Below are 23917 nucleotides of genomic sequence, written 5' to 3'. Positions count from 1 at the left end.
TACTAAAAATACAAAAAATTAACCGGGCGTGGTAGCAGGCGCCTGTAGTCCCAGCTACTGGGGAGGCTGAGGCAGGAGAATGGCGTGAACCCGGGAGGCGGAGTTTGCAGTGAGCCGAGATCCCACCACTGCACTCCAGCCCGGGCGACACAGTGAGACTCCATCTCAAAAAGAAAAAAAAAAAAAAAAAAAGTGGAGATATGGAGATATACAGACCTGCTAGGAAGTTACTGTCCTGGTCCAAGCTAGAGATGATAAAGGCTGATTAGTGAGGTTAAAAAATACATTTGAAGGTAAAGCTAATTGCACAGATATATGTTGTACAGTTGTACAGATGGATGGAATAAGAGATGTAAGAGAAAGAGAATCAATGATAACGCTAGATTTCTGGCTTTAGCAATGGGGTAAATAATAGCACTCTTCAATGAAAAGCAGGAACACCCAGAGAGGAGGAAGAAAGATGGGAGGTGGGGGAAAACAATAGTTTGGGACAAATCCATAGTATGGGTTAACAGATCTATTATTATCCAAATGGAGAGGTTGACTAAGCAGTTGGATATGTAAGTATGGAGTTCAAGGGAGAAGTCAAGGCTAGAAATAAACATTTGGTGTCAAACATAAAAGATATTTAATACCATGTGTATTAGTCACAGCTCTTCAGAGAAACAGAACCAATAGGATACATGTATATATAGAGAGATTTTTTTCTTTTCTTTTTTTTAAAGAATTGACTCACACAGTTGTGAGGGCTGATAAGTCTGAAAACTCCAAGGCTGGCTGATAGGCTGGAAATTCAAGCAGGCATTGATGTGGCAATCTTGAGACTAACGGTGGTCTGGGTGCAGAATTGCTTCCTCTTTGGGAAACCTCCATCTTTTCTCTAAGGTCTTCAACTAATTGGATGAAGCCCATCCACATTATGGAGGGTCACTAGCTTTACTCAAAGCCTACTGATTTCATTGTAAGTCACATCTAAAAAATACCTTCACAGCAACATCTATGCTTTTATCTGCCAAACAACTGGGCACCGTATGCTAGCCAAGTTGACACATAAAATTAACTGTCACTCCATGGGACTAGATGAAATTACCCAGGAGTTAATGTATTTAGAGAAATAAAGATGGCCCAGGACAGAGCCCTGGCACGCTCAAACTGCAAAAGGGGAAAAGAACCCAGCAATGGAGCCTAAGAAGGAGCTGGCAGGAGGTAGGAGGAAAACCAAGACTGTGTGGTGTCTCAGAAGCCAATGAAGAAGTGCTCCAAAAAGGAAGATCAACTATTTCAAGCACTGCCAAGAAATCCTATAAGGTAAGGGCTGAGTCATGGAGGTCACTTATGAAAATGGTGGTAGGTAAGAAATCCTAATTAGAAGAAGTTCAGCAAGAAACAGAAAATAAGGAAATGGAGGGAGTAAGTATAGGCAACTCTTAAAGGGGTTTTGCTATAAAAACAAAACAAAACAAAACAACAATAGGAAAGGAGCTAAAGAGGGATGTAGGATAGAGGAATTTTTTTTTTTTTTTTTTTTTGAGACAGAGTCTCACTCTGTCACCCAGGCTGGAGTGCAGAGGCACGATCTCAGCTCATTGCAACCTCTGCCTCCTGGGTTCAAGCAATTCTCCTGCCTCAGCCTCTCGAGTAGCTGGGACTACAGGTGCATGCCACCACACCCAGCTAATTTTTGTATTTTCAGTAGAGAGAGGGTTTCACCATGTTGGCCAGGCTGGTCTTCAACTCCTGACTTCGTGATCCACCCTCCTCGGCCTCCCAAAGTGCTGGGATTACAGGGGTGAGCCACCGTGCCTGGCCAGACTTTTTGGTTTTTTTGGTTTGTCTAAGAAGGAAATTATTACAGCATGTTTTTATGCTAAAGGAATAATCCAGTAGAGGGAACTTTGGCAATTTCCAAAGAAGGAGCAAAAAGAGATAATTGCAGAACCAAAGTCTGTTGAATATACCCTTATTATGCAGTGTAGACTTTGAAGTCAAATCCAGGTTCTATTACTAACTGCAAAGCCAAGTTACTAAGCCTCTCTGCTTCTTCATCTTCTTTCTACAAGGCCCTTTGTGGTCCTTCCACCCCTTCATCTCACCCAAACTTCTCCTCAATCCCCATGATTCAGTCATTAGCTTGCTTTCAGTCCCTGTAATTACTGTCCTCCCTCCCACCACAGGGCTTTGCTAACTTCCAAGCATTGAGCAAATCTAGTTTGAACAGGTTTTCCTTGGGAAAACCAACAGAGAAGTCAAATCCCCCTATGAAATGTTCTCATGTTACCATCTATTCTTTCTGCCTAGTACTTACTACAATTGCAATCATACTTTTATGAGTATTTGATCAATGTCCACCTCCCTCACTCTAGAATAGCACAGTCCAAGAGGACTTTCTGTGGTGATGAAAATATTCTAAATCTACACTGTCCAACCCAATAGCCACTCACCACATGTGACTATTAAGTACATAAAAGATGGCTAGTACAGGTGTGGATGTGAAGTTCTAATGTTATTTAAGTTTAATTAATATAGATGTACATAGCCACATGTGAGCAGGGACCAGGATTAGTTATGCTCACCATCATGTTCCCAGCACTTAATATAGTATGCACACATAGTAATTGATCAATAAATAATTGTTGAGAGATTAAATCTGTAAAAATGCAGATATTACTTAGTTAATTTGTATATTCCATCTTTTTCACAGAGAAAAGGAGAAAAAAAAGCTTTTACAAGGTAAATGTTAGGGGGTCCTCAGTTTTATAAAGGTAATTTGGCCTTTAAGAATTTGATCAGAGGCTGGGTGCGGTGGCTCACGCCTGTAATCCCAACACTTTGGGAGGCCGAGGCGGGCGGATCACGAGGTCAGGAGATCAAGACCAGCCTGGCCAACGTGGTGAAACCCTGTCTCTACTAAAAATACAAAAAAGTAGCCAGGTGTGGTGGCGTGCACCTATAGTCCCAGCTACTCAGGAGGCTGAGGCAGGAGAACTGCTTGAACCCGGGAGGTGGAGGTTGCAGTGAGCCAAGACGGCACCACTGCACTCCAGCCTGGGTGACAGAGTGAGACTCCATCTCAAAAAAAAAAAAAAAAAATTAGGCTGGGCGCAATGGCTCAAGCCTGTAATCCCAGCACTTTGGGAGGCCAAGGCGGGCGGATCACGAGGTCAGGAGATCGAGACCGTCCTGGCTAAAATGGTGAAACCCGTCTCTACTAAAAACGCAAAAAATTAGCCAGGCTTGGGGGTGGGCGCCTGTAGTCCCAGCTACTCGGGAGGCTGAGGCAGGAAAAAGGCGTGGACCGGGGAGGTGGAGCTTGCAGTGAGCCGAGATCACGCCACTGCACTCCAGCCTGGGCGACAGAGCAAGACTCCGTCTCAAAAAAAAAAAAAAAAAAAAAAAAAAAAAGAATTTGATCAGAGGCCAGGCATGGTGGCTCACACCTGTAATCCCAGCACTTTGGGAGGCTGAGGCGGGTGGATCAGAAGGTCAGGAGATCAAGACCATCCCAGCTAACACGATGAAACCCCCTCTCTACTAAAAATACAAAAAAATTAGCCGGGCGTGGTTGTAGGCGCCTGTAGTCTCAGCTACTCGGGAGGGTGAGGCAGGAGAATGGAGTGAACCCGGGAGGCGGAGGTTGCAGTGAACCAAGATCACGCCACTGCACTCCAGCCTGGGTGACAGAGTGAGACTTCGTCTCAAAAAAAAAAAAAAAGAATCTTGCCAAAGGTCACAAACCAGGTAAGTGTTGGAGCTGGTATATAAATCCAACTGTGCCTACCTCCAAATCCATTGTTTGTCTTACAATTAAATAATATAGAGTGAGGAACAGGCTAAAAACCGGTAAAAACAACAAGTAAATCCGGTAAACTTGATTTGTAGGGACAAAAAAAAAACCCCGGTAACCTTCTGATAACAAACAAGGAAAATCATCCATGAATCATCCACCCTGAAAACTCTGGAATCTACTGAGGGGACTATGACCTGTAGTCATTCTGTCTTTATTTCTTTTGTTTATTTGTTTGTTTTTTGGAGACAGAATCTTGCTCTGTCATCCAGGCTGGAGTGCAGTGGCACAATCATAGCTCACCACAGCCTCAAACTCCTGGGTTTAAATGATCCTCATGCCTCAGCTTCCCAAGTAGCTGGCCAGAGGCACACACTACCGTGCCTGACTAATTTTTTTTTTTTTTTTGAGACAGAGTCTTACTTTGTTGCCCAGGCTGGAGTGCAGTGGCGCGATCTCAGCTCACTGCAAGCTCCGCCTCCCGGGTTCATGTCATTCTCCTGCCTCAGCCTCCCTAGTAGCTGGTACTATAGGCGCCCGCCACCACACCCAGCTAATTTTTTTTTTTTTTTGTATTTTTAGTAGAGACGGGGTTTCACCGCATTAGCCAGGATGGTCTTGATCTCCCGATCTTGTGATCCACCCGCCTCGGCCTCCCCAAGTGCTGGGATTACAGTCATGAGCCACCGCACCCGGCCTATGCTTCATTTAAAAAAATGTTTTGTAGAGACAGGGTCTCGCTTTGTTGCCCAGGCTGGTATCAAACTCCTGGGCTCAAGCAGTCCTCTCACCTCAGCCTCCCAAAGTGCTGGGATTATAGGCATGAGCCACTGTGCCCGGCTCCCATCTTTATTTCTTATATCAAGCTATATGAAAGACATCTGTTTACATGTCCCCACTCTTAGAACCATCACTTAATGAACACCTCTGTGCCAGGAACTTTACATGTTCTCAGTCATCTCAATAACCCTTTGGGATATATATTATTATCTCCATTTACAGATGAGTAACCCAAGTTTAAGTGACTGTCCCAAGAGCCGACAGCTAGTCCAGGATTTACGCCTGCATGCTCTTCACTCTCCACCACAGTATTATTTACTTGAGGGGTTGGTCTTTCTTACCCTGGCATCTGGCACAGTGCCTTTCCCATAATGGGCACTCACTCAAGCTTCAAATTCAACTGGCACTTCAGCAGGCTTTTGACTGTTAGTGAAGTGGAAAAGAGAAGAAAGGGAGTGTAAGGTGTTCTGGTAAACCAGTTCTGAGTGGTGGTGGGGAGGCCCTGATTTGTAGTATTTGCTAATTTCTGGAGTTGAATACTCCCACTTTGGCTAATTTCAAGCTACCAACCTACTTGCAAAATTCCTTGATGTTTAACAAGGGGTCTCTTGAGCTGGTACGAGCCAGCTCCAGCACACTGCCCAAAGGCTCAAGTCGTCAGGTACAAGTTACTTTCACTTCTCTGTCTTCTCTTCCCAGCAGCTCTCTATACTTACATGTCACTGCAACCTCAGAAGAATAAGGATTGTTCTACCTCTGCTAAAGCTCGCCTTTACCAGAGCACTACAACCTATAACCTATCCCAATTCCAAGTGGTCTTAGGGGACCCCACCTTTCTTCAACATCCTCTTCCTATCTTGTATTCAGGGCCGTTTAAGCCATTCCGCCTTCAAATGTGCCCAGGTCTCCTCTTTTGTAAATCTCTGGGCTAATCCCATAGCATCATCTGGCGTTCTACTAACAAGCAGTATAGCTCAATAGTTATAAGAGCCCGCAATGAAATCACGTAACCTGGCTTTTCTGCTGGCAAACTGTGTGCCCTTAGGCAACTTCTGTTACCTCTCTGTGCCTTTGTTTACTCATCTATAAAATGGTGATAAATACAGTATCTACACTTCATGTGGTGATTGTGGAAAACGAGATGAGTAAATAGATGTAAAGGATGTAAATAGATGTAAAAGACTCAATAGCTTAGTTATTATAATCATTATGTCCTCATGCATGGTATAAATCCATGATGACCTCAGTGTGGTTAGAAGTTTGGATTTTCCCCTTTTACAGGTTGGTCATTCACAGTAACTGTCAACAAAGCATTACAGTGGACACCGATCAAAACTTAACTCAAGGCTGGGTGCAGTGGCTCATGCCTGTAATCCCAGCATTTTGGGAGGCTAAGGCCGGTGGATTACCTGAGGTCAGGAGTTCGAGACCAGCCTGACCAACACGGAGAAACCCCTTCTCTACTAAAAATACAAAATTAGCCAGGCATGGTGGTGCATGCCTGTAATCCCAGCTACTCAGGAGGCTGAGGCAGGAGAATCGCTTGAACCTGGGAGGCAGAGGTTGCAGTGAGCCGAGATTGCACCATTGCACTCCAGCCTGGAGTAGCACATTCATTTTTTCATTTTACTTTTAATTAGCAAGCAGTCTGTGGCTAAGCATGCCATTTTCCGCAGTGCATATATTCTCATTACCCAGAGCTTGTCTTTTCTTGCCAGAAGAAGAAAAACATAATTTTCTTTTTTTTTTGAGATGGAGTTTGGCTCTTGTTGCCCAGGCTGGAGTGCAATGGTGCGATCTCAGCTCACTGCAACCTCTGCCTCCTGGGTTCAAGTGGTTCTCCTGCCTCAGCCACCCGAGTAGCTGGGATTACAGGCATGCGCCACCACACCTGGCTAGAAAAACATAATTTTCTTAAACAACTTGCTAAAAGGAGTGAAAGGAACATGAAAAACCTCTTTAAAAATTAGTGCCTGCATTCTGCATTACATGTACACACATGCGTAATATGCACATGCTAGTACATGCAGAATATTTCCCTTCTGCAATCCATTTGCTTTTGGTCGCTCAGTGTCCCATTTCAATCTTAGAGGAAAGAAAAAGTTTTCAGGTAGAAAACCACTGACCAGAAGTACCTCAAGAGGTACAGGCTCCATTCCAGTCAACTCTCAGATGTTTCATCTCATAAAAGTGCAGATCAACCACCCTCACCACCAGCCAAGGAGTTACATACTAATTAGTAGTGGTAAACAGCTATTAGAACCTAAGATGAAAGAAGTGCCATATAGCTTATTATTATTATTTTTTTTATTATTAATTTTTTTTTTTTGAGATGGAGTCTCACTCTGTTACCCAGGCTGGAGTGCAGTGGCATGATCTTGGCTCACTGCAACCTCTGCCTCCCGGGTTCAAGCAATTCTCCTGCCTCAGCCTACCGAGTAGCTGGGACTACAGGTGCACGCTGCCACGCCCAGCTAATTTTTTTTTGTATTTTATTAGAGACAGGGTTTCACCGTGTTGCCCAGGCTGTTCTCGAACTCCTGAACTCAGGCGATCCACCCGCCTCGGCCTCCCAAAGTGCTAGGATTACAGGCGTGAGCCACCGTGCCCGGCAGCTTATTATTATTAACCTCTAAATTCTTAAACACTATTAGATAGTTGATCTTGAGAAGAACATCCCCCTCTAATTTCTCTGAGAGCCAAAATCCCAGAAGCCCGAGACAGTTGATGGCTACCAGTCGTTAATGGAAAGCTATGGTCACTTCATGGAGCTGGGCCTGAAGGAGCCTTGGATCTTTCTAATGCTCTAGGCCCTGGTTTGAATTGAGAGTGACCTATGTCTCATTAAGAGGCATTCAGACCAATTTCTCCACCCCAAAGACAGATGAGAACCTTATAGTTCTCCACCAGTATATATCTGAATTCCTTTATCTATAGATTTTTTGTTTTTTGTTTGTTTTGTTTTGTTTTGTTTTTGAGATGGAGTCTCGCTCTGTCGCCCAGGCTGGAGTGCAGTGTCACTATCTCGGCTCACTGCAACTCCACCTCCCGGAGAACTCACACCATTCTCCTGTCTTAGCCTCCCAAGTAGCTGGGACTACAGGTGCCCGCCACCACGCCTGGCTACATTTTGTATTTTTAGTAGAGACAGGGTTGCACCGTGTTAGCCAGGATGGTCTGGATCTCCTGACCTCTTGATTCATGTTTTTGTTTTTGAGAAAGCCAGCTGACTATTGCTTTGGGGGCAGGTTTTCTAATCCTCTTCCTCTTTCTTCACCATCACAGGCTTCTGGATGTGCAGGATGGCGCTGGCCTGCAGAAGGCTGCCACGCGCAGGTCGGGGCGGTACTTGCTCTTGAGGATCCTGTGTCTGATGCTGCTGAGGGTGGCGCGAGCATTCTTGTTTTTTTCTGTTGTTTGTATGTTTGTTCTTTTGAGATGGATTCTCACTCTGTTGCCCAGACTGGAGTGCAGTGACGCAATCTCGGCTCACCACAACCTCTGCCTCCTGGGTTCAAGCGATTCTCCTGCCTCAGCCTCCTGAGTAGCTGGGACTATAGGCGCGCACCACCATGCCTGGCTAATTTTTGTATTTTTATTACAGACGGGGTTTCACTACGTTGGCCAGGCTGGTCTCGAACTCCTGACCTTGTGATCCACCCACCTCCGCCTCCCATTAGTGCTGGGATTACAGGCCTGAGCCACCCCGCCCTGCCCGAGCATTCTTGTTAATGGTGGTCTGCATGTAGAAGGTGGCAGGCTTCCACTGGCTGGATCTCTGCTTCACAACTATGAAACCTTTGCCGTGGGCTGCCGGCTCCACGCCCACAGTCTTGCGTTGAATAAGCCCATTGTAGTGGAAGCAGTTGCAGGCCTTCAAGTTATTGGGCATGGTGCTGTAGGTCTGCTTATTCCTCTTGATCAGGAAACTGGAGCAGTGCCAACCACCCGTTGCAGATATGCAGACATGGCGGCTTCTTTCGCAGCCGCAGCCGGAGACTGAAAATTATCTATAGATTTTAAATGCTTTTTTTTTTGAGATGGAGTCTCACTCTTGTCACCCAGGCTGGAGTGCAATGATGTGATCTTGGCTCACTGCAACCTCTGCCTCCCAGGTTCAAGCAATTCTCCTGCCTCAGTGTTAGATATGAGTTCTAAATTTCTTTTCAAAGAATCAATATGTCAGTATGTTCAATTCTTTGCCTTCTACTTTTTTTTCTTTTCTTTTTTTTTTTTTAGGTGGAGTCTCACTCTGTTGCCCAGGCTAGAGTGCAGTGGTGCGATCTGGGCTCACTGCAAGCTCCGCCTCCCAGGTTCATGCCATTCTCCTGCCTCAGCCTCCCGAGTAGCTGGGACTACAGGCGCCCGCCACCACGCCCAGCTAATTTTTTTGTATTTTTAGTAGAGACTGGGTTTCACCATAGCCAGGATGGTCTTGATCTCCTGACCTCGTGATCTGCTCGCCTTGGCCTCCCAAAGTACTGGGATTGCAGGCGTGAGCCACAGCGCCGGGACTTTTGCCTTCTACTTTTAAACTTAACTTCCTCGTAAAGCAACCTTTTCGAGTACCTACTCCACTCTGACTCATTCCGATTATCTGCTCCACCCTTAAGTCATTCCGATTACCTACCCCACCCTGACTCATTCCGATTACCTGCTCTGTCATAATGATTTTTCCCACCAAACCACTCACCCTGTCCCTCTCTTTAAATTAGTGAATTGGAATGTTTAGCCTTTGCGATCTAACCTTAGCCAATAGGGGAAAGACACAGCAGCAGGGGCCACGTGTGTCAGGGATAAGAACCCCTTCCTCTCCCTTATCGAAGTGTGTGCTCACCATTGCTCCGTCTGTAAGGGCGCACCCTTCTATAGAAGTAACTTGCCTTGCTGAGAATTCAAAAGAAAACTTTATATTCCAGTGCTATTTCTTTTGCGGCACCGAAACTTTACTTATAACATCAGCCTCCAGAGTAGCTGGGATTACAGGCACTCGCCACCATGCCTGGCTAATTTTTGTATTTTTAGTAGAGACAGGGATTCACCATGTTGGCCACTGGGATTACAGGGGTGAGTCACCGCGCCTGGCCCTAAATGCTTATTTGCTCTTTCTTAAAGTGAATCCAAATACATCTTTCTTTCTTCTACTTTTTTTTTTTTTGAGATGGAGTCTCGCTCTGTTGCTCAGGCTGGAGTGCATTGATGTGATCTTGGCTTACTGCAACCTCTGCCTCATGAGTGTCAGGCCTCTGAGCCCAAGCTAAACCATCATATCCCCTGTGACCTGCACGTATACATCCAGATGGCCTGAAGCAACTGAAGATCCACAAAAGAAGTGAAAATAGCCTTAACTGATGACATTCCACCATTGTGATTTGTTTCTGCCCCACCCTGACTGATCAATGTACTTTGTAATCTCCCTGACCCTTAAGAAGGTTCTTTGTAATTCTCCCCACCCTTGAGAATGTACTTTGTGAGATCCATCCCCTGCCCACAAAACATTGCTCCTAACTCCACCGCCTATCCCAAAACCTATAAGAACATTTAATGATATGGCCAGGTGTGGTGGCTCATGCCTGTAATCCCAGCACTTTGGGAGGCTAAGGCGGGCAGATCACGAGGTCAGGAGATCGAGACCATCCTGGCTAACACGGTGAAACCCCGTCTCTACTAAAAAAACACAAAAAATTAGTGGCGGGCACCTGTAGTCCCAGAAACTCAGGAGGCTGAGGCAGGAGAATGGCATGAACCTGGGAGGCGGAGCTTGCAGTGAGCCCAGATCGCACCACTGCACTCTAGCCTGGGCGACAGAGCGAGACTCCGTCTCACAAAAAAAAAAAAAAAAAAGAAAGAACTAATGATAATCCCACCACCCTTTGCTGACTCTCTTTTCTGACTCAGCCTGCCTGCACCCAGGTGAAATAAACAGGCTTGTTGCTCACACAAAGCCTGTTTGGTGGTCTTTTCACACGGATGCACGTGAAACTGAGTAGCTGAGATTACAGGCTTGCACCACCACACCCGGCTAATTTTTTTGTATTTTTAGCAGAGACAGGGTTTCACCATGTTGGCCAGGCTGGTCTCAAACTCCTGACCTCAGGTGATCCACCCCCCTCGGCCTCCCAAAGTACTGGGATTATAGGCGTGAGCCACCACACCCGGCTAGTTAATCTTTCAATAATCTCAGGAATATCCTGAGGCTGTATTGCTATAAAGGAGGCTATATTGCCTCCTACTCTGCTTGACAGGATTCAATGTTGACCATTAAGTGGCTTTCCTCCTTCTCGGAGGAAAAACATACATTAGGCCAGTATTTAGTCATTGCCCTTTCTAAGATGGCAAAGTATTTTCCATGTCACTACTATCAAATAATGGCCATATTAAGGTGTTTCTATACTTATGATTTAAACAGGAGACAAATGGACTTACAATGAAAATCCTAGGGCCCTTAAGAATTATGATAAATCTACTCTGCCTTTGCTTTAGAAATGGAACAACAAAGCCTGAATGACAGCACATCTGTTTACAACTTGGTTTATTTTAAGCCCACTGTTGAGACCTATTGCTCAGAAAAGAAGACTTTTGAAAATATTACTGCTCATTGACAGTGCATGTGGTCACTCAAGAGATCTGATGGAGATGTACAAGGAGATGAATGTTGTTTTCATGACTACTAACAAAATCCATTCTGCAGCCCAGGGATAAAGGATTAATTTTGACTTTCAAGTCTTATTATTTAAGAAATATATTTTATAAGGCTATAGCTGCCATAGACAGTGATTCCTCTGACAGATCTGGGCAAAGTAAGCTGAAAACCTTCTGGAAAAGATTCACTATTCTAGATGCCATTCAGAACATTCATGATTCATGGGAAGAAGTCAATAATATATCAACATTAACAGGAGTTTGGAAGAAGGTGATTCCAACCCTTATGAGTAACTTTGATGAATTCAAGACTTCAGTGGAGGAAGTAACTGAAGATATGGTGGAAATAACAAGAGAAATAGAATTAGAAGAGAAGGCCAGGCATGGTGGTGCACATCTATAATCCTAGCACTTTGGGAGGCCAACGTAGGATTGCTTGAGCTCAGGAATTCAAGACTAGCCTGGGCAACATAGTGGGACCCTGTCTCTACAAAAAAAATTAAAAATTAGCTGGGTGGGCTGGGCGCGGGGGCTCACACCTGTCATCCCAGCACTTTGGGAGGACAAGGCAGGCGGATCACGAGGTCAGGAGATCGAGACCATCCTGGCCAACATGATAAAACCCTGTCTCTACTAAAAATACAAAAAAAATTAGCTGGGCATGGTGTCGCGTGCCTGTAGTCCCAGCTACTTGGGAGGTTGAGGCAGGAGAATTGCTTGAACCTGGGAGGCAGAGGTTACTGTGAGCCGAGATCGCGCCACTGCACTCCAGCCTGGGGACAGAGCAAGACTCCATCTCAACAACAACAACAACAAAAATTAGCTAGGTGTGGTAGCATGTGCCTGTAGTCCCAAGTACTTGAGAGGCTGAGGCAGGAGGATCACTTGAGCCCGGGAGGTTGAGGCCACAGTGAGCCATGACTACATCACTGCAGCACAGCCTGGGTGGCAGAGTGAAACCCTGTCTCAAAAAAAAAAAAAAAAAAGAAAGAAACACAGAAAAAGAAGAAAAAAAGAACCCACAAAAAATAGAGTCTGATGACATGACTGAATTAATGTAATCTCATGTAAAATTTGAATGGATGAGGAGCTGCTTTTTATGGATGAGCAAATAATGTTTTTCTAGAAATAGAATCTACTCCTGATGAAGATGCTGTGAACATTGTTGAAATGACAACAAGGGCTGGGCACAGTGGTTCACGCCTATAATCCCAGCACTTTGGGAGGCCAGGCGGGCCAGATTACCTCAGGTCAGGAGTTTGAGACCAGCCTGGCCAACATGGAGAAACCCCATCTCTACTAAAAATACAAAAATTAGCCAGGCATGGTGGCAGGCGCCTGTAATCCCAGCTACCCAGTAGGCTGAGGCAGGAGAATCACTTGAACCCGAGAGGCAGAGGTTGCAGTGAGTTGAGATAGTGCCTGGGCAAAAAGAGTGAGACTCTATCTCAAAAAAAAAAAAAAAAAAGAAATGACAACAACGGATTTATAATATGACATAAATTTAATTGATAAGCAGTGGCAGGGTTTGAGAGGATTGGTTCCAGTTTTGAAAGAAGCTCTACTGTACGCCAGGTGCGGTGGCTCACGACTGTAATCCCATCACTTTGAGAGGCCAAGGCGGGTGGATTACATGAGGTCAGGAGTTCGAGACCAGCCTGGCCAATGTGGTGAAACTCCGTCTCTACTAAAAATACAAAATTAGCCAGGCGTGGTAGTGCAGCCTGTAGTCTCAGCTACTCAGGAGGCTGAGGCAGGATAATTGCTTGAACCTGGGAGGCAGAGTTTGCAGTGAGCCGAGATCGTGCCACTGTACTCCAGCCTGGGGACAGAGTGATACTCTCTTTCTTTCTTTTTTTTTGAGACGGAGTCTCGCTCTGTCACCCAGGCTAGAGTGCAGTGGCGCGATCTCAGCTCTCTGCAAGCTCAGCCTCTCGGGTTCACGCCACTCTCCTGCCTCACCCTCCGGAGTAGCTGGGACTACAGGCGCCTGCCACCATGCCCGGCTAATATGGGTGGGTTTTTTTTTTGTATTTTTAGTAGAGACGGGGTTTTACCATGTTAGCCAGGATGGTCTCCATCTCCTGACCTCGTGATCAGCCCACCTCAGCCTCCCAAAGTGCTGGGATTACAGGCGTGAGCCACCGCACCCAGCCAGTGATACTCCATTTCAAAAAATAAAAATAAAAAATAAAAGAAAGAAAGAGAGAGACAGAGAGAAAGAGGAAGGGGCCGGGTCCAAGTGGCTCACACCTGTAATCCCAGCACTTTGGGAGGCCAAGGTAGGTAGGTGGATTACCTGAGGTCAGGAGTTTGAGACCAGCCTGGACAACATGATGAAACCCTGTCTCTACTAAAAATATAAAAAATTAGCCTGGCGTGGTGGCAGGTGCCTGTAATCCCAGCTACTCAGGAGGCTGAGGCAGGAGAATTGTTTGAACCCGGGAGATGGAGGTTGCAGTGAGCCCAGATTACGCCATTGCACTCCAGCCAGGGCAACAAGAGCAAAACTCAGTCTCAAAAAAAAAAAGAGAGAGAGGAAGGAAGGAGGGAAGGAGGGAGGGAGGGAAGGAAGGAAGGAAGGAAAGAAGGAAGGAAGGAGGGAAGGGAAGGAAAGGGAAGGGAGGGAGGAAGGAAGGAAGGAAGAAAGGAAAGAAAGAAAGAGAAAGAAAGAAAGAAAGAGAGAAAGAAAGAAAGAAAGAAAGAAAGAAAGAAAGAAAGAAAGAAAGAAAGAAAGATACCATCACATCTAGGAACACCTATCATGATATCAACACCATGAACATTATACATAAGACAGGTGGGGCAGGTCATGGAAGGTTCTACGGGATAGTCTCAGAAAAAAGAAAGAAAGGAAAGGAAAGGAAAGAAGGAAAGGAAGAAGTAAGGCAGGCTGGGCATGGTGGCTCATGAGACTCCAGCTCTACAGAAAATACAAAAATTAGCTGGGTATGGTGGCACATACCTGTACTCCCATCTACTCGGGAGGCTGAGGTGGGAGGATTGCATGAAGCCAGGAGTTCAAGGCTGCAGTGAGCCAAGATCATACCACTGCACTATAGCCTGGGCAATAGAGCAAGACAGACAGACAGACAGAAAGAGGAAAGAAAGAAAGAAAGAAAGAAAGAAAGAAAGAAAGAAAGAGAAAAGAAAATAAAGAGCTATATATAAAGGTTTCTTCCTATTATTATTAATTATTATATTATTTTTTTTTTTTTTTGAGAGGGAGTCTCACTCTGTTGCCCAGGCTAGAGTGCAGTGGCGCGATCTCGGCTCACTGCAAGTTCTGCCTCCCGGGTTCAGGCCATTCTCCTGCCTCAGCCTCCCAAGTAGCTGGACTACAGGTGCCCGCCACCAGGCCTGGCTAATTTGTTGTATTTTTATTTTTTATTTTTATTTTATTTTATTTTATTTATTTATTTTTGAGACGGAGTCTCGCTCTGTCGCCTGGGCTGGAGTGCAGTGGCTCGATCTTGGCTTATTGCAAGCTCCGCCTCCCGGGTTCACACCATTCTCCTGCCTCAACCTCCCGAGTTGCTGGGACTACAGGTGCCCGCCAACACGCCCGGCTAATTTTTTGTGTTTTTAGTAGAGACGGGGTTTCACCCTGTTAGCCAGATGGTCTTGATCTCCTGACCTCGTGATCCGCTCGCCTCGGCCTCCCAAAGTGCTAGGAGTACAGGCGTGAGCCACCGCGCCCGGCCCTGTTGTATTTTTAGTAGAGACAGGGTTTCACCGTGTTAGCCAGGATGGTCTTGATCTCCTGACCTTGTGATCCGCTTGCCTCGGCCTCACAAAGTGCTGGGATTACAGTCGTGAGCCGCCACGCCCAGCCAACTAATTTTTTTTTTTTTTTTTTTTGAGATGAATTCTCGCTCTGTCACCAGACTGGAGTGCAGTGGCGTGATCTCAACTCACTGCAACCTCCACCTCCCGGGTTCAAGCGATTCTCCTACCTCAGCCTCCCTAGTAGGTAGGACTACAAGCATGCGTCACCATGCCCAGCTAATTTTTGTATTCTTAGTAGAGACAGGGTTTTACCATGTTGGCCAGGATGGTCTCGATCTCCCCACCTCGTGATCCACTCACCTTAGCCTCCCAAAGTACTGGGATTACAGGCGTAAGCCACCGCACCGGGGCTCTTCCTAGTATTATTATCCCATGAGGAAAATGAACAGGCAATTCAGATAATGAAATACAACACAGTGACTACAATTTAGATAGTCCCAGCTACTTGGAAGGCTAAGGTGGGAGGACCACCTGAGCCCAGCAAGGTACACATAGGAAATACAACATACAGGAAAAAATATTGTGCCTCATTAATAATCAAAGTGATACAAATTAAGATAAAGAAATCTGTTTTTACCTCTCCAATAGGCAAATAATGATTTTTAAAAACCTATTATTATTTCTTTTCTTTTTTTTTTTTTAAGATTTTGTGTGGGACTGGCTCAGTTTGTCCAGCCAGATCACTTTTTTTTTTTTTTTTTTTCCACCGGGGCGTTCCTGAGTTTATTTGGGGCACACCCGGACGAGGGCCCTGCACCTAGAAGAAGGTGTTGGGCCTCTTGGTGGTGAAGCGTGGCTTGTGCTGACGGCGCAGGACCCGGTGGGGCAGCGGGAACTTGATCTTGGAGTCGTGGAACTGCTTGACAGCCGGCCGGCGGCACTTGCTGGCCGCGATCTCCTCCACCTTCATGATCTGAATGGAGTGGGCTCGGGCGCGGTGCCGGGCACCCATGTCTCGGTAGCACTGGGTGACAGCGCCTGCGGTGGTCAGGTCCCGGTATTCCCGGTACATGTTGTGGGTGCCGCTCCGGGAGTCATAGCGCAGCCAGATCCTGAAGTTCTTCACCCGCAGGGGGGACTTCTCAAACACCTGCCCACAGTAGACAATCTCCCCTGAAGACTTCTTCATCTTCTTTAACTGAGATACAAAGTACCAGAAGCGGGACTTGGCGACGACATGATTAGGCGCAAAGATTCGCATGCGGTAGAGGGGCGGCGTGTGGCATTTGGGGGTGGGCAGGCAGCGACCCACTACCTTGTACTCTCGTAGCGTGCCCGAGGCCTTCATGGCGTGCTCTCCGCGTTCGCCGCCACCCGCAAAAGGAAGTTTTTTTTTTTTTTTTTTTAAGACGGAGTCTCACTCTGTCACCAGGCTGGAGTGCAGTGGTGTGATCTCAGCTCACTGCAACCTCCACCTCCCGGGTTCAAGCGATTCTCCTGCCTCAGCCTCCCAAGTAGTTGGGACTACAGGCGCATGCCACCACGCCCAGCTAATTTTTGTATTTTTAGTAGAGACGGGGTTTCACCATGTTGGCCAGGCTAGTATTGATCTCTTGACCTCATGATCTGCCTGCCTCAGCCTCCCAAAACACTGGAATTACAGGCAGGAGCCACTGCACCTGGCCCAAAACCTATTATTATTTCTTACTACTAAGTACAGGGAACTCTTTGAGCTTATGAAGTTATTAATTAGTACACACCATTTAAAGGGCTCTAGAACCTTAGAATTGTTCATACTCTGACCCATAAATCCATTCCAGTAATCTATCCTAAGAAAATAATTCTAAATACAGCAAAAACTTCACGTACAAAGAAAAACATTTCTAACCTATTATTCCACAATAGCAAAAAATTGGCAATAGACTGTCCAAATATAGTAGAATGGCTAAGTAAATACATGGACTATTTTGTAGTCATTGAGAAAATTAAGAACTTATATAACATGTAAAATATTAAATAATAAAACAGAACAGAGTTTACAAAAAAGACATAAAATATTAATAGTGGCTATCTCTGGATGCAATTATATGTGATTTTTTGTATTTTATTATACTGTGGTCTCCAAATTTAAAAAAATTAACATTTTTATAGACAAAACCAAAATGCTTAAAGAATATTTTGAGCCTCATTCATAAAATAAATAGAACAACCTCCCATGTCTCCTCATTCGCTATGGGAGAAAGCCTCTTTACTTTTCAACTCTTAACCTCTCATCGTTCTCTGCCCCAGGCCTTGCCAGTTTTGCTCTAAATGAACATGCCATGATGTTTTCTAAGTTGCTTTTGTTTACAGCTTTAAATGTCTTACCCACTACCTTTGTCCACCCGTGATCCTACAGCCTTTAGAGATACCAGATTACACTGAAATTGGAAGTGAGGCAGAGGCAAACAAGTAAAATGATCTTAAAGAATGAGGTTGTGCCTTACTCATCTTTTCTCTCCTGCCAGTGCTTGGCATATAAATAGGTGCCCAAAGCAAATCTGTTGAATGAGTAAGTATCAATACCAAAGTGGTGAGAACTGAGCTAGCTAGGGTACCTCTGCTTGTGAGGGGTTTTTATTTGTTCAAGGAAAACAATGCCAAAGAGGCAACTAGGGAAGCAGACAGGCCTGGGCTTGACACAGCAACATTGAGCAAGTTATTCAAATGCTGAGCATCTGCTTCCTCACAACAACAGAATTAATTCCAACAACCACACAAAGCTGTTGTGAGGATTAAGTAAGAGAGATATGAGACACTGCCATAAAAAGAAACTCAAATATTAGTTCCTCTCCCTCTTGCTGAAGGCATTAAAGCCATGTCCTCCATAAGCAGCCAGGAGACATGAATAATACACATCAGAACCCCTAAGCTAGTGACATGTGGCATCCAGATGCACACTTTTGGCAAACTCCTGAAATCTTATGTCTGTTTTCCACATTTATAGCTATAGAATGTCAGCAGCTGCCAGACCAAATTAAGATGATTACACTGATGTTGTCTGTTCCTTAGATCAAAGCTCCTAGGAAGACACCTGAAGTATAGATACAAGTCTTTGTAAATCAACAGGCCCTGTGAGTGGCAGCTCATCCACAGGGATAGCCAAGATGTGTGTAGCTGGCATGGTGGCAGATTGTACAACCTCTGCCACCAAACACACCACCACATGTGTGTGCAACAGACACCATCACATCTAGGAACACCTATCATGATATCGACACCATGAACATTATACATAAGACACTGGGGGCAAGTCATGGAAGGTTCTACGAGATAGTCTCAGGAAGTAGTGGGAGGGGCCACGAATTGCCAGTAGGTTCACTAGAAAGCCAGCCACCCTGTATACTAATACTTTACTATGTTTTTATTTCCTCATCATAAGAAGGTGATATCACCACCTACCTGATTGGTGGTATTCTGAAGATTAAATAGGAGAACATGCATGAGCCTCTGGCACAAGGAGGATAGCATGTATGACTACTACCACTACCTACACACAGGACATGAATGCCAGGCCTCCCGGTTCTGAGTTTCTCTCTCCAATACCAATCTCAGTAGAACTCAGTGGACCCTGATGGTTGTTTTCAAATAATAACCTTAATTTATGTAGACTGGCCAAAATACAGCCAAAAGAAGGAAGAAGAAAATGTTAGGGTGAAGAGAGAGGATCCCCTGGTAGCACAACTTCTCTTCTTGATTTTCTGTGAGAGGTGATACTATTGCAAACACAGGAATTCATGGGGCACTCACTCCATTACCAATCCAGTTAGGCAGTACACAGGCCCTCAACTCTAAAGGAAAATAAAAGGAATTTGCTGGGAAAAAAAAGAAAAAAAAAACACAAACAAGTCTAATTCCTTTAGACAGGAAGCACACCTGCCTAGTATACTACTGTATTCCCAGTGCTTAGTATACAGAGCCTAGTGCACAGCAGGCACTCAATAAATATGCTGAATGAATAAATGCACCCATGTGATTCTATGCCAAATACTCCTGTCTACCAATTGATCTTCTGACTTTTTAAATACCCACTATGATCCAGGCCCTGGGAAGATTACGTAGCCAACACTGGTGTGAAAATCATGCCTATGGAGGGTTCTTTTGGAACCCAGAAGAAACAGATAAAGGAGGTGTTTATTCATGAAACCAGCACTTAGAAGACTGCATCAGCAGTTCCAGCTCCATGATTACAAGCTCCTCGAAGACATGAACCAGATCACACCTCTCCTGTGTGGCTAAGGCCAACTGCACATGTAGAACGGTGTTCCTCCTATGCTTGGGACAAATAAATCTCACAAAATCAAAACTGTGTTAATATTCATGCTTCCTACTTGCCTTAGAACGGGGTGTCAAACTTGGTCTTTTTTTTTTTTTTTTTTTTTTTTAATACAGAGTCTTGCTCTTGTTGCCCAGGCTGAAGTGCAATGGCACAATCTCAGCGCACTGCAACCTCCGCCTCCTGCGTTCAAGCAATTCTCCTGCCTCAGCCTCCTGAGTCGCTGGGATAATAGGCGCCCACCACCATGCCTGGCTAATTTTTGTATTTTTAGTAGAGACAGGATTTTGCCATGTTGGCCAAGCTGGTCTCGCGCCTGTAATCCCAAAAGTTTGTGAGGCCGAGGCAGGTGGATCACCTGACATCAGGAGTTTGAGACCAGCCTGACCAACACGGTGAAAACCTGTCTCTACTAAAAACACAAAATTAGCCAGGCATGGTGGCACATGCCTGTAATCCCATCTACTTGGGAGGCTGAGGCAGGAGAATTGCTTGAATCCAGGAGGCAGAGGTTGCAGTGAGCTGAGATTGCACCTTTGCTCACTGAGCTGAGAATGCACTTATTTCGTCTCAAAATAAATAAACATAGTGAGAAGACTGGCATTGTTTCACATTTTTTTGAATTTTTTTAGCATTGGTCCTAATAAAAAACAACTAGATTCCCATATTTGCTTCTGGATTAATTTGTTGCAATATACGTTGTTTTGGCAGAAGTAAATGAAAAATCCAGTCTCACACAGAAAAGTAGTTGGAAAAGGAGAAATTTAATAGATTTTTCAGTCACCGCACCTCCCCACTGGCAACACACATTTAAAAAAGATAAGAATAGTCTGAAAAATGATAGAGAAAGTAAAGAGGACATTTAAGAAAGAACAAGGGGGACGGGCATGGTGGCTCACGCCTGTAATCCCAGAACTTTGGGAGGCCGAGGTGGATGGATCACCTGAGGTCAGGAGTTCAAGACCAGCCTGACCAACATGGAGAAACTCTGTCTCTACCAAAAATACAAAATAAATTGGCCGTGGTGGCGCATGCCTGTGATCCCAGCTACTCTGGGGGCTGAGGCAGGAGAATCGCTCGAACCCTAGAGGTGGAGGTTGTGGCAAGCCCAGATCGTGCCATCGCACTCCAACCTGGGCAACAAGAGCAAAACTCCATCTCAATTAAAAAAAAAAAAAGAAAGAAAGAGCAAGGGAAGTATAACTGGGGAACCACCGGGACAAAAGTCAATTCATAATCCAATGCTTATTTTCTGGGACTGAAAATAAAGTTCATACATGTATTAAATCACAGACTCTTAAAACTTCCTTAGCCACTTACTAACAGATTTAGAAATAAAACATCTGCCATTTGTTACCAAAAAACACAAGTTTTCCACATTCAGAGAGTAAATCCTTACAAATCATGCTCCCCAAGCACTTAGTGCATTCATCCTGCCCATCTCTTCCGATGTTACCTCCTTTACCTTTCCCATCCTTGAAGGACATGTTCATTTGCTTTATCTTATATTAGTTTAATTTGCTTGTTTGGTTATTGTTCCGTTTGGTTATTTTTCCCTAATTCACAGCAAGTTGCAAGTGACTTAAGTTTCCCAGGAAAATTTATATTTTTATAAAAGGCTACTTTTGGACCCAGAAGAAATTTTATTTATTGAGATTACCTTTCATACTATGGAGTATTTAGGGGCAAGAGCCTTCCTTGATGAAGGAATAGAAGGGTCACCGTAGAGGAGCCAGACAACATGGTATTATGGAAATAACACAGGCTTCAGAATTACATGGGCCTGTGTTCAAATTATAGATCCAGTATTTATATGAAGTTAGGGAAGTTTTCTGTTGTTGTTGTTTTTTGTGTTTTTTTTTTGTTTGTTTTGTGAGATGGAGTTGTGCTCTTGTTGCCCAGGCTGGAGTGCAATGGTGTGATCTTGGCTCACCGCAACCTCTGCCTCCCGGGTCCAAGCAATTCTCCTGCCTCAACCTCCCGAATAGCTGGGATTACAGGCATGAGCCACCATGCCCGGCTAATTTTGTATTTTTAGTACAGACGGGGTTTCTCCATACTGGTCAGGCTGGTCTTGAACTCCCGACCTCAGGTAATCCTCCCGCCTCTGCCTCCCAAAGTGCTGGGATTAGAGGCATGAGCCACCATGCCCGGCTAATTTTGTATTTTTAGTACAGACGGGGTTTCTCCATACTGGTCAGGCTGGTCTTGAACTCCTGACCTCAGGCAATCCTCCCACCTCCACCTCCCAAAGTGCTGGGATTACAGGCGTGAGCCACTGCACCGGGTCAATGTTAAGGAAGTTAATTGACTTCTCTGGGATTCAATTTCCTCATTTATAAAATATAGAGAATATCTCCCTTGCTGAGTTCATGTGAGGATAGGTGACTATACTTAACCCAGCATAGTCCATGTAAAACAGGGACTAACACTCTATATATGGTAGTTATTATGTGATGCTCTCTGTGTTAGAGAACCTGTCTTTAGAAACATCAAGTAATATGTCTTGCCACACAACTACCTCCTTCCTCCTGACCCTAGAAATGAAACTTATGGCCGGGCGTGGTGGCTCACACCTGTAATCTCAGCACTTTGGGAGGCTGAGGCGGGCGGCTCACCTGAGGTCAGGAGTTCGAGACCAGCCTCAACATGGAGAAACCCCATCTCTACTAAAAATACAAAATTAGCCAGGCGTAGTGGTGCATGCCTGTAATCTCAGCTACTCAGGAGGCTGAGGCAGGAGAATTGCTTGAACCTGGGAGGCGGAGGTTGCGGTGAGCTGAGATCGCACCATTGCACTCCAGCCTGGGCAACAAGAGCGAAACTCCATCTCAAAAAAAAAAAAAAAAAAGAAATGAAACTTATATGCCAATTGTTCATATCTCCCAATTGCCATATATCTTTCTCTGTCTAGTTGAATCCTTTCTTTGTTGTTGCTGTTGTTGTTGTTGTTGTGGTTCTGAGACAGAGTCTCACTCTGTCACCCAGGCTGGAATGCTGTGGTGCGATCTTGGCTCAGTGTAACCTCTGCCTCCTGGGTTCCAGCAATTCTCCTGCCTCAGCCTCCCAGGTAGCTGGGACTACAGGTGCACACCACCACACCCAGCTAATTTTTTTTATTATTTAGTAGAGACAGGGTTTCACCATATTGGCCAGGCTGGTCTCAAACTCTTTACCTCAGGGAATCCAGCCACCACAGCCTCCCCAAGTGCTGGGACTACAGAAGCGAGCCACCATGCCAGGCCCTTTCTTTGTATTCCTTTGGAGACTGAGCAGAAGCTGTCAATGCCCAGGACTCTGCTTCCTTAAAGCTACTAGGCATGAAGTTTACCTCCTCTTCCTAATCTGGAAGAGCCCACTTTTCCTAATAGAAATGATGGTGCTGGCCACTAGCAGATCCTTTTTGTTTTTCGATACAAGGTCTCACTCAGTAATCCAGGCTAGAGTGCAATGGTGCAATCATAGCTCACTGTAACCTTGAACTCCTTGGCTCAAGCAAACCTCCTGCCTCAGCCTCCTGAGTAGCTAGAACTATGGGCTCATGCCACTGTGCCTGGTTAACTTTTTAATTCTTTATTTTTGTAGAGACAAGCTCTCACTCTTGCCCAGGCTGGACTCAAACTCCTGGCCTCAAGCGATCCTACTACCCTGGCCTCCCAGTGTGTTGGGATTAGAGGCATGAGTCACCAACAGGCCTAGATTAGATTCTTAATAATGTTTGTCTGTGAGCCCTTGGGATTTTCTGACCCACAAAAAAGGAGCACCATGGTCCTAGAAAGAAGCTTTCCATTTTACTCCACCAATCTTTCTCTCCCTGGGATTTCCCAGTAGCACTTTTCATGGATCTTTCACCTTTACTGATCTTTGTATGTCCCTGCCAAAATTTCTGAATGCATCTCAGTTTATATTTAATTCAAATACTATTTGTATTACTTATCAGAAAGGAGACAAATTTGCAAAAGTAAAGTTACCATAAAACCAGCAAATACTGTATCTGTAACTAGATTCATGAGTAATAAGAAGAATAATTTCAATAAGAGGAAACTCTGGGTAATACCAAGGCTATACACTAGGTAAAGGCTAAAGGTGAATATGATTAGCTCCAGGAGAGTACCCTGTCTAAAAGACCAAAAAGAAGAATCAGCTAGCAAGTGCTCACTAAACAATAAAAACCTCAAGGAAGACAAATTAAAGCCAGATAGAATAAATGAGATAAAATGTACAGTCAGCAGCTATGATTTACATATTAAACAGAAACTTACCTGTTTGATCAAGTTCAAGCACAAAATAAGGAACACACAGAGATTTAAATAACTTCTTTACCTGGAAGAAGTTGAAAAACAAGGAGGAAAATGAAAAATGAGGTTATAACCAACAAGAGAATCTCTTATCCAGCTTTGTTACTTCCTTCCTCAACCAGCCTTCACCTTTGAAAACTTTCCAATTCACTTTTATGTAACCCATAAGATTCTCCCTGTTGACAGAAATGATATTTACAAGAGTATCTGAAGTCTGTTGATTCTATTCAATTGTCAATGATTCATCTGTATCGCTTCATAAGATACATTTTATATGTTTAGTGACTCAGTCTACCTCATTATAAAATGGGTTTAATACTATGTTTAAAAAAGCAGGCCGGGTGCGGTGGCTCACGTCTGTAATCCCAG

The 23917-nt window shown here is 44.8% G+C and overlaps 1 protein-coding gene, 1 long non-coding RNA gene and 1 pseudogene across 2 annotated transcripts in view, besides 4 other annotated features; 1 reads left to right on the top strand and 2 right to left on the bottom strand.

Moving 5' to 3' along the window:
- TXNRD1 (thioredoxin reductase 1) overlaps nucleotides 1-23917 on the bottom strand; it is a 134529-nt gene that overhangs the window by 68716 nt on the left and 41896 nt on the right. The window contains exon 3 of the mRNA NM_001093771.3: nucleotides 23513-23573. Coding sequence (NP_001087240.1) covers nucleotides 23513-23573 — 61 coding nt within the window. The remainder of the gene's footprint in view (nucleotides 1-23512; nucleotides 23574-23917) is intronic.
- On the top strand, nucleotides 749-19280 carry TXNRD1-AS1 (TXNRD1 antisense RNA 1). Its single transcript, XR_007063431.1, has 2 exons — nucleotides 749-1308; nucleotides 19017-19280. It is a non-coding gene; the product is annotated as a TXNRD1 antisense RNA 1 (long non-coding RNA).
- Nucleotides 5473-5642: an enhancer, noted in NCBI's record as "experimental_23828 CRE fragment used in MPRA reporter constructs". NCBI's record gives its function as "activates a minimal promoter by MPRAs in K562 erythroleukemia cells, with activity observed for both the introgressed and non-introgressed 12:104669813 variant alleles {active_cell/tissue: K562}" and the evidence as "EXISTENCE:reporter gene assay evidence [ECO:0000049][PMID:34662402]".
- Nucleotides 7086-7255: an enhancer, noted in NCBI's record as "experimental_23822 CRE fragment used in MPRA reporter constructs". NCBI's record gives its function as "activates a minimal promoter by MPRAs in K562 erythroleukemia cells, with activity observed for the introgressed 12:104668200 variant allele {active_cell/tissue: K562}" and the evidence as "EXISTENCE:reporter gene assay evidence [ECO:0000049][PMID:34662402]".
- Nucleotides 8298-9497: an enhancer, noted in NCBI's record as "CDK7 strongly-dependent group 2 enhancer chr12:104665873-104667072 (GRCh37/hg19 assembly coordinates)". NCBI's record gives its function as "activates an origin of replication core promoter dependent on BRD2, BRD4, P300/CBP, MED14 and CDK7 cofactors, with strong dependence on CDK7, by STARR-seq in HCT116 cells {active_cell/tissue: HCT116}" and the evidence as "EXISTENCE:reporter gene assay evidence [ECO:0000049][PMID:35650434]".
- Nucleotides 15077-15246: an enhancer, noted in NCBI's record as "experimental_23817 CRE fragment used in MPRA reporter constructs". NCBI's record gives its function as "activates a minimal promoter by MPRAs in K562 erythroleukemia cells, with activity observed for both the introgressed and non-introgressed 12:104660209 variant alleles {active_cell/tissue: K562}" and the evidence as "EXISTENCE:reporter gene assay evidence [ECO:0000049][PMID:34662402]".
- RPL18AP3 (ribosomal protein L18a pseudogene 3) lies at nucleotides 15700-16323 on the bottom strand (annotated as a pseudogene).

Source organism: Homo sapiens, chromosome 12 (assembly GCF_000001405.40).
Source record: "Homo sapiens chromosome 12, GRCh38.p14 Primary Assembly".
Taxonomy (NCBI): Eukaryota; Metazoa; Chordata; class Mammalia; order Primates; family Hominidae; genus Homo; species Homo sapiens.
Note: the sequence above shows the minus strand (reverse complement) of the source record. Positions and strands in the feature narration are given on the sequence as shown.